Here is a 10,633-nt window from a genome sequence, read left to right on the forward strand (position 1 = left end):
AATAGAAAGAGAATAACCAGAAAACGCAAGTCTTATAATAGAGGTCAGTATTACTGCTTTGAAGTAGCATTGTCAAAAATTCTAACCTGAATCTATTAGCTCTTTAGACCTATCAATTTACAGGAAATACGAAGGATCAAAAAAATGTCTTAACATAGTGATGTAATCAGTAAAAGCTTAGCTGTGGGAAACTACAAGACAGATGAGCCAGTGTTTTTCAACACAGAAATTGTAAAAATAAAAAGCATGAGAGAAGAGGAACTCTATGGATTAAAAAAGAAACATACCAGCAGGGCATGGGACGGGCTCCGGTAGTACCAGCTACTCAGCCTGGGCAACATATTATAGCAAGACCCTATCTAAAAAGCAAAAACATATATGCCAATTGAAGTTTGTGGGTCTTATTACAATGCTGATTCAATTACAGAGAGAGTAAAATATATATATTTTTAAATTAAAAAAATATTTGGAGACAGGTTCTCATTCTTTCATCCAGCCTCCCAAGTAGCTGGGACTACAGGTGTGTGTAACTGCATCCAGCTTAGTTTTAAAAATTTTTTGTGGAGCGAGGGTCTCACCTTGTCCAGGCCTGTCTCAAACTCCTGGCTTTAAGCAATCCTCCCACCTTGGCTTCCCAAAGTGCTGGAATTACAATTACAGGCATAAGCCACTGTGCCCAGCCAGTAAAAAATATTTTTGAAGCAATTAAAGAGATGTGAGCACTCACTGGGTATTTAATGATATTAATGAATTCTGTAAGTATTTAGCAGGGCTAATCGAATTATGATTATATTTTACAAAGATACATGTTGAAATATGTATGGAAGAGAGATTGATGTCCAAGAATTGTTTTAAAGTCACCTGGAGAAGCAGAAAAGTAGGTGGAAATATGGATGAAACGAGATGGCTCACAAATTAAGAATTGTTTAAGCTGGCTAATAGGTGGGTAGGGGTTCATTATACCATTCTTTCTACTTGTAAAAATATTTGAAACTTTCCATAATAAATGCCTTACTAGAAAGTTGAAAAATGAGTAAAACCCTAATCTTGCCTGGAAGCATTTCAGAATCTAATCCGATAGGCAAGCATGTATGCAGATAATTGTGAAACAATGTGATATTAGCTTTAATTAGAGTGTGATCAGAGTGCTGAGGAGCACAAAGAGAAAAGGGGTCATATCACAATTGTAAGAATGTAACTTAGAGGATGTGAAAGCATATCGGCAATCATTCAGAGAAACAGAACCAGTGTATATAGTAAAAGATAACTCTGACATATGAAATTAAATTAGGCTGAGGATGAGACCATTAAGAGTGAATCTGTATACCAAAAGTCACAAGCCTATATTGGTTATCAATGAAACAAAAGATTCATATTCATCTGTCAACAAAAGAAAAGGCAACAGCTTGTTTATCTCAGTATAGGTATAGTATCTCAAGTGTAGCCCAACTTTCCCCTGGAATATAGTGAATTCACACATGGCTGCTACTTGAATTCTTTCAAATGCATACTAAGCTCTGTAGCTTCATATTCCATTATAATAATGCAAACAGACAAACACAAGGAATTTCTGGTACTTGGGGTCTACCTGTGAGGGAACTCCTTGTGAAGCCCTTTGTGTGGGTTACAGTGACCTATTCAGCAGTTCTGTAAGAATAGGTCACTGGCAGTATAAGCCATCTGCTCATGCAATTTTATTTTACCTTTAGGACTGGCTCAAATTTTATCTTACATGTAGCAATTTCCCATAATATTGCATGAGGATGATTTGTTCATTCAGCCTGTATTCTACTGTCCTTTAAGAGAGACTTCCTGACCTCCATAAACTGTAAAGGTAAAAATCAGCATATTCCAGACTCCTTTACAACTAGTTTTAGATGGATGCAATCACAGGTTTGGAAGAAGCAAGACAAAGGCCATCTTTTGTTTCTTTTTGCTGTTTTCTGCTAGGAAACTACTTGGTGAAGACAGAAGTTCTTCCTCTAGAAGTAATAGAGTGGTTAATCTTTAGTATGTGGGTGTTGAGAGACATTTGTGGTGGTGGTTGCTGCAGTGGGGGCTTTCTAAATTTGGCTCTGTGATGCTGGGATTGCAGTTACTACTGAGTGTTTTTTGCTTTTTTTAAAGCCTATTTTTTGAGAGCAGTTCTAGGTTCACAGCAAAATTGAGAGGAAGGTTCAGAGATTTTCCAATATATTCCCTGTCCCACACATGCATAGCCTTCCCTCTTCTGAGTGATCTTGATTTTAATTGTGTAAGTAGCAGTTCCAGAGGAAGTTGCTACCTTAGTGATCAAGTATATAGTGTTCAAATAGTTATTTTGGAGGCATAAGCTAGAACTCTTTCTTCCACATTTTCCAGTGATTTTAGAATGACGAATTTCCTATGTGAAATTCCATCCTGCATAAAATACCTAGAGGGGTGATATGGTTTGGATGTTTTGTGCCCTCCAAATCTCCTGTTAAAATGTGACCTCCAGTGTTAGAGGTGGGCCTAGTGGAAGGTGTTTGGATCATGGAGGCAGATCCCCCATGTGAATGACTTGGTGCTGTTCTTGTGGTAATGAGTGAGTTCTCACTATATGAGTTTACACATGATTTGGTGGCTTTAAAGAGCCTGGCACTTCCTCCACCTCTCTTGCTTCCTGGCTTACCATGTGATATGCCAGCTCCCCCTTTGCCTTCTGCTATGACTGTAAGCTCCTTGAGGCCCTCACCAGAAGGAGATGACAGCACCACACTTCCTGTATAGCATGCAGAATTGTCTTTCCTTTATAAATTACCCAGCTTCATATTCCTTTATAACAATGCAAACAGACTAACACAAGGAGTTTCTGGTACTTGTATTAAAACTTGACTGATACAGAACGGCCTACCTTATGGGTTGGATAAAATCATTTCATGAAGCAACTCAGAGTGTACTCTTTCTTGATGTCTTATGGCCAGATATTTTGTCTCTGAGTCTGATATTAAGTCAAAGCCTTGTTTGTTTCAAAACCCTGGGAGCATCTACTGTGATTCTACCAGTGGGTCTCGCCACAGTCTCCATAGTGTAACTTGATCAGCTGAAGATACCTAAAGTATCTTTGGGTCTACTGGTTTATAAGGGCCAAGTAACAGAGCTGCTTATACTGCAGTCTACACCATCTCTTGCTCTGAACCTCACTCCAAGCTAGCGTCAATTTGGATTGCTTATTAATTTTTGAGCAGTAATTTCACTTTGTTGTATGTTAGCTTCAAAATTCATAGAGGCTTAAAGGGGATATATCCCTTTGTTAATGGTAGTGCCTTCTTTAGAGAGGATATCATGTCATGTTCTAGACACTGGATGCCCAGAAACCAAGATTGTAGCTCTTTCTTGGTGGCATTGAGTATTTTAAAATGGATATCCTGACATGTCTAGATCCTGGGTGCTATGAATTTTTATGGCAGTTTTCTCCTATCCTCTGGAATGGGTATAGTGTAGCTAGGGCTTCTAGGGAATCTGATACTTCATGTTCACCAGATTCTGCAGTATGTCATCAATATAGTGGACCAGCATGGTGTCTTGTGCATTCATGGGAGTTGCACTCACTGACCCTGACAAATAAAAAATGAAATGCTTTTGGTATTGTTTTGATTTGGGGGATAGAGAAAAAGCGGATATCAGAATAATAGCACATTCCAGGAGCTGAGGGATGTATTTGTTGAGAGAGGCTACATCTGGAACAGTAGCAACAATTGATAGTTTACAATAATCCACTGTCATTCTGAAATACTCTTTATTTTGCATAGTCCAAGCAGGCAGATAAAATTGAGATATGAAAGGACTCAGAATCTCTGAATCTTTCAAAGCCCTAGATGGTGGCACTAATCTCTGAAATTACTCAGTGGGCAAGATATTACATTTAGCTTATCATTGTGGTAAGAAAGGAAAACTCCACGGGCTTCTCCTGGCTCTTTATGATACAAGTCTCCCTCCATTGTGTTAGAGAGCTTCTGTGGGAATTTTGCAGTGGCTTAGTCTATTTACTATACAGGTATACACTTATGAAGTGAGCAGTAACTGTGTAATATGTCTATGTAGTCACTGTGCCCACTGTTAGGCAAATTGATACCTAAAATCTCTCACTTGATACCCGTAAGCTCCCACTCTGACCAACGGACCGTTGTGGCATTTGGATCCACTAGTAATTATTGTTTCTTGTCCTGGACATCACCTGCTACTCTCAAGCTTGCCAAACTTCTTAGTGCTTATCTAATTTGCCTGGATCTAGTTTTGTCTCTAATAAGGTTCAGACACTGCCAGCAAAAGAATAATCAGTTTTTGTGAGATTACTGGTTAGTCCAAACTGCTGTCCAGAAATAGTCCTTAGAAAGGACATCGTATTTTTAGATAAAAATGCAAGAAGTGTTTAAAATTAGAGTTCCAAAATAGAGTCCTTTGTCTTCTAGATCCATCTATCATATGCTATTTATCTACCATATGCTATCTATCCATCTATCATCTATCTACCTATTTATCTATCAATTTTAACACCTGTGCTTCACTTCTGGCTAAGAGCTGCAGTGAAAGAAATTCCAGTGAAGACTAGAAATAAGAGCAGGAGACTGAGATAATCAAAACCCTGGACTGCTATGCTGCACCTGCCATTTCAGAGGGTGAGTTTTCTAGTCTTACTGTCAAGCAGGTCTTTCTCTCAGGAATAGGGTAAAAAGGAGATTGAGAAATAAAAAGCTCTGTAATCTGCATCGATTTCTTATTTTCTTGACATGGGGCTTAAAAGTTTTCAGGTGTTAATACATATGTTCTCTCTCTCTATACACACACACAGATACATACATAGATACATACGTATTAGATACTATATATACACTTCCTTGATCGAATGTGAAAATATAGTAAATTTCTCTTTTCCTTCTGCTGAAGCACAGTCAAAAGTTCAATCAGTATGATACATTGATCTCTAAGGAAGAAACAGAAACCAGTTGTGATCAAATAATTATAGGATAAAATGAAGATAAAATGAGAAAATTGAAATGAAAACAATGAAAAGTTAAGTTTGTTATATTAACATGTTGTGATTGTTGTTCAAATTTAGTCAATTCCTTTCTTGTCTTCTGTTAATCTATTCTGTTTTTGAGAAGATTATACACTTGGGGTGAAAAAGGTAGAAGGAGCTTGGACTGGTGGGAAGCCCCGGATTAAGAGTTTAAAGAGTCAAGATGTAGTCCCAGTTGTGCTACTTTAAAATTTGGAATAATTAGATGTGTACAAATTTTAGTTTGGCAGCAAAGGGCTTTTGAGCTAATGGGTCTTAGCTTGGAATGAGGAAATAACCCACAGAGGCCACCTTTGGCTCACTTATATAAATGTACCTACTTCACAGGATGTTTGTAGGGATTCATTATGAATATATGATTGGGCGTGGTGGCTCATGCCTGTAATCCCAGTGTTTCAGGAGGCTGAGGCCAGAGGATTTCTCAAGGCCAGGAGTTCAAGACCAGCCTGGGCAACAAAGGGAGGCCCTGTTTCTACAGCATATTTAAAATTTTGTCAGGCATGGTGGTGCATGCCTGTGCTTCCAACTACTTGGGAGACGAAGATGGGAGTATTGGTTGGGCCAGGAGGTCGAGGCTGCAGTGAACCATGATTGCGCCACTGCATTTTAGCATGGGTGACAGCAAGACCCTGTCTCAGTATATATGAATACATGTGAAGTGCTTCGCACAGTACTTGATGCAAACTAAGGGTGCAATAAATGCTACAATTCCTCTATAATACCATGCTGTCTGCCCATATGGAGCCTTATGTAAGAGAGGTATGAAGGGGGCAAACATCAAAACTAAATAAAGAGTAATCAGTTGGTAGTTCTTACTGGTTATTGTAGGACAACTCAAGGAGAGACAATAAAAGAAGTATGCTGTTCATTGTTGAGATTTCAGTTTTTTTTCAGTTGAAATTTCATTGCTGAGGGGTAATGTGGTTCTGAATTTTCCAAATATCTTGCTCAGAAATATTTTAACACCTTCTGGCTATTCTACAGACAGCTAGCTAATTATGTTAGGCATCAAATTTTGAAGAATAAAAGTAGAATTTTGTGGCATATCAAAAGTAAATCCAAAGTGTTAACTTCATCTTATTGCTGGAGAAGTTTGCTATTTGGAGTTTTAAAAAATATATTCAGAAAGAGATTTAAAAAAAAGTTGTTTCAAATACACCTGTATTTACTGGACCACCCAAGCTTTTTAGAAGTTAATCAGGTAGCAATGTGCTATTCCCTACTCTGCCTCTAGCACACAAATGCTTCTTTTCCTCTTACGGGAAAGAACTATAATCTGTTTGATGCTTAATGTTAATGCTCACAAATAAGCATTCTCCAACTTCTTGGGATCAGATATTCTGTCTATCCCTCTAAAATTACCTCATTCGGTGGTTGCCCCAGAGAAGTGCAGATTCCCAATAAAGCTTTGGGTTTATTAGGTTTCACACCTGCCTGAGGCTTCTCTGGAAAATAGAATTCAAGAAATGATCTTAGGTTTAAAGTCTAATGGGATGTGACTTAAATCAGGATTTTTGTTATCTAACTTGTCTAAGCCTTAGTTTCCTCATCTATACAATTAAAATACTTATGTTGGATATAAGGGTATCTTGACCATGGTATAAGTTAGCTCCCCTGATTCCAGAAGGTTTGTTTCTTGCAAACAAAGAGTACATTCTGGTTCTGTTAAGCAGGAAAAAGGAATTTTTAAAAAGCCATTAGATAGTTATGGAATAAATTGCAATGCAGGGTTAGAGAAACAGGCTGAAGCTAAGCTGAACTTCTCAGAATCACCCATAACCACACCCCGGAACAGATAAGACACCAAAACTTCCCTGATATTGCCATCATCACTTGTTGCCTGGATGCCAGGACTCTGATTTTACTACAGTGATAGACCAGGATATCAACTTTACTTTTCCCCACAAGGTGTTCCCCCACGGTTGTCACCTGTGTCAGCAAAATTATGTCCTACTCAGAGGTTCTCTCTTTAGGTTACTCATTTCCAAATTGAAGTCCTGTGTGGGTATTTATGACAGACAGAAGCTAGGTCTTGTGTTCTCATCTTGCAAGGATGCTGAGGAGTGAAGTGCTCTGGATTCTACCTTATGAAGGTGGGGCTTTCAGAGTGGGCATTACCAGTATGTAGAAGGGTAGTCAAAAGATACTAGGTCCTTTCATAATGTTTTTCCTCTTAGGTCTAATAACAATGATACCATCTTTTTTTTTAAATCTACATTTACTAAATACTTAGCAATGGGCTAAATGAGACTACAATTATCTCCACTTTGCAGAAGAACAAATTGAGTCACAAAGATTTAGATAGTTTGCCTTTGGTTGGTAAGTGGCAGAAACAGAGCTGGATCCCTGTCTATCTGACTCCAAACTCTAAGTGGAAAACTCCAACAGGAAGCTGCCTCACAAATCAAGAGGCTGTTTCACAGCACTTAAATCCTATTTCCTGTTCCTATATCTTTCCCTAAAAGCTTGTAAGTGCCCTGGCCTATTAACTCTTTATTAATGCTATTTTTTCAAAGCTAAACCCACCCAACAGCTCTGCCAGCTCTCTGACTCTGCAGAAAAGAATATGTGGGTGGGTTTGGGAAAGTGGGTCAGATAAGCACACAGACTAATCTGGAGTCCTGATAGATGAGGTTGTGGAAAAAAAAAAATAAACCACATTGGTGTCATGGATTTCCATTTGAGATGCTTTACTATAGAAGAATGTAAGCACTCTTCCTATCTTCACATTGTCTCCCCAGGGCTGTGCAGGGTGGAACTCAGGCAATGAATGCAGTGCAGTGAAAAGAATGTGACCTGCAGAGGCATTCTGACTTGATTTCAACTTCTGGCTTTGTGACTAACTGGTAGTGTCAGCTTTGAGAAATGATTTAATGCTTCTGACCCTCAGTTTTCCTCATCTGTAAAATGGACCTGATTTTCAGAGTTATGGTGAGTGCGCTGCATTTTGCAATGTTTTGGTCTTCTCCCTCCTACATGTGTTTCACTCAGCCTTTTCCCTGGAACACAGCATTCGAGACAAAGCTTACCTGCTGCCAGAGTCTGAATGTTTGTGTCGTTGCCAAATTCCTGTGTTGAAATCCTCACCCCCAAGATGATGGTATTGGGAACTAGGGCCTTTTAGGAGGTGATGGAATTAGTGCCCTTATAATGGAGTTAGTGCCCTTATGATGGAGTTAGTGCCATTATAAAATAGGCCCAAGGGAGCTTGTTCGCCCCTTCAACCATGAGCAGACACAGTGAAGAGGCACTATTTTTGAAAGAGAAAGTGTAGCCTCACCAGATACCAGATCTGCTGGTGCCTTGATTTTGGACTCCCTGGCATCCAGACCTGTGAGAAATAAATTTCTGTTGTTTATAAGCTACCCAGTCTAGGGCATTTTAGTATCCCTAACTAAGACACCTGCAAGCACTTTATTGAAATCTCAGGGATGAAAGAGTGAAAATAAAAGGAGAATAAGGCAGGAAAGGAGGGAAAGTGAATGCAAAGAGGTGTGTTACCAAACTCAAAAACATACTGCTAGTGCTTTTGGCCCTGAAGAAAGCTTCCGGAGAGGCCTTATAGGACCACTGGACCTCAGAACAGTTTGTCCAGGAAAAGAAAAGCAAGCACTTTAACTTGCTTACTTACTTTAACCTGTTACTTATCGGTGAAAAACAGCCCTGTGAGACTGCCCTGTCCTTCTGGAATGTGTGACTTGGTTTCTCCGAGTAGCCCCTAGAGAAGCCAAGATATTGGAAAGGTTGAGTTTTCTCCTTGATGGACATTCTAGAGACAATGTCAAAGCCTAGCCTCTGCTTCAGAAGTGGGTTGGGATGTGCAGAGACAGTGGCAGTAGGAGTTGAGGCAGCAGTGTCAGTGGTGGGCTTTATGGTCACGAGAAACATGTGAGCCATTATTGGGCTGCTCCGGAAGGGAAATGGGGCACATAACCAGGGCCTAGAGGACAGGAAGTGTATGGTGCAAACTGGGTCAAATACACTGTGTTTGGGGAATTACCCTTCTTTGGAGCCACAGTAGAAAGCTGCACCAACCCCACCATTGGAGCAGAAACCCCTTTCCCAGTGTTTCTTGCTGTTAGGGTACCACAAGGCTGCCTTCTAGGCCATGCTGTACTTATCAAAGTCCCACTCTAGACTTCAACTTAGAAACTAAAGAGGTCAAGAAGTGGGGACATCCCCAAATCCATTCTGGTGAGGAAAAGTCAGCAGGAGAAGCTATATCAGCTCCCAGGAGCTGTAATGCCCAGTGGCTAGCATTGGTAGTATTAAGGACACACGTGCATGTCTATGCGCAGAGGTGGCAGTATCATCATGGGATAAACCAATTTAGTTACTTAATTTTGGACGCCAGTCTTATTTCGGCCTTCCAAGTCTGGTTCTTTCAGCCTTCCTGAGATATTGTGAACTACCTATATCATATAATTTATATTTTTCTGTTCAAATTATCCAGGGTTCTTGTATGTAACAACCCTGACTGACACAATCATAACTGGGGAAGTATATGAGTGGCAGAGTATTTTTTTTGAAATAGTAATCATTTTCTCCCATTTGTTCTATTCCTTACTCAAGCATCTATGTCATTTTATTCCTATGTTTTTTGAGGAATGATATGGTAGGATAAAAGCAAAGGATAAGAGAAAAAGAACAATTTCTGGCCTCCAAAGGCTGGTGGCCTCGGGGAGAGTAACAACAAAACTTCAACAGACAAAATATTTGGAAATGATATCACAAGAATGAGAGAATTGAGCTGAGCTTCTCTTGTATGCTCCTGGATAGGAAAATTATTTCCCCGGAGTGGGGAGAGGAAAGAAATATGAGAAAACTGCAAACTGCTGGAGATATTTTTTACTGCTTCTAGAGAATGAGGTCTCAAAGCAGATATTAACTTTAGTTTTATATAGAAAAAAAATGAAGATTTATTTGTACCTGAGTTTGTGGCCTGAACTTTATTCACAGTACGTGCATTAACAGCAAAACAAATCACACAGCAAATTCCATCCAACCTAGGATAAGCATACCATAAAATGGTGTTCAATAAACAGCACTCTTTTTTTTTACTTTATTTATATCTAGTTAAAAATGGAGACATCTGTGTTGCTCTGGCTAGTTAGTGAAAGTAAACTTAGGGGCCTGAGGCCATGTTGTTTTGTTTAGGGAGAGGAGTCTCAGTGCTGTTCAGAAATCTCATGCAGTCACTAAATCTCACTAAATACATTCAATCAATAATGCGCTTGGTTATGGGAGAAAAACAACGCTCTGAAGAACACCCCATCCTTTTCGTCTCATGGGTTCATACTAGGTCATCACAACAGGCATTTGCTGCAGCAACCAGTTTTGCATTCACACTAATCTGGAATTAAGCATTAATAGAGCCTTTAGAGTAAAGCCAATAAAATTGTCCTGGAGAGCTATTCATTCTCTGAGGAGAGGCACAGTCTGACCCCAAAGCACATGTGATTCAGGAAGATACGTGTTTCTGAGATGGGGGAGAAAAGGTCCTGTTTTGTTCCTCACTGCAGACTTGACTTTATCCTCAAATATTCATTTAGGAGAAGGCTGTCACAGTATTGTTTATAGTTACAAAGGTAA

This window comes from Homo sapiens, chromosome 11 (genome assembly GCF_000001405.40).
Source record: "Homo sapiens chromosome 11, GRCh38.p14 Primary Assembly".
In the NCBI taxonomy this organism is placed as follows: Eukaryota; Metazoa; Chordata; class Mammalia; order Primates; family Hominidae; genus Homo; species Homo sapiens.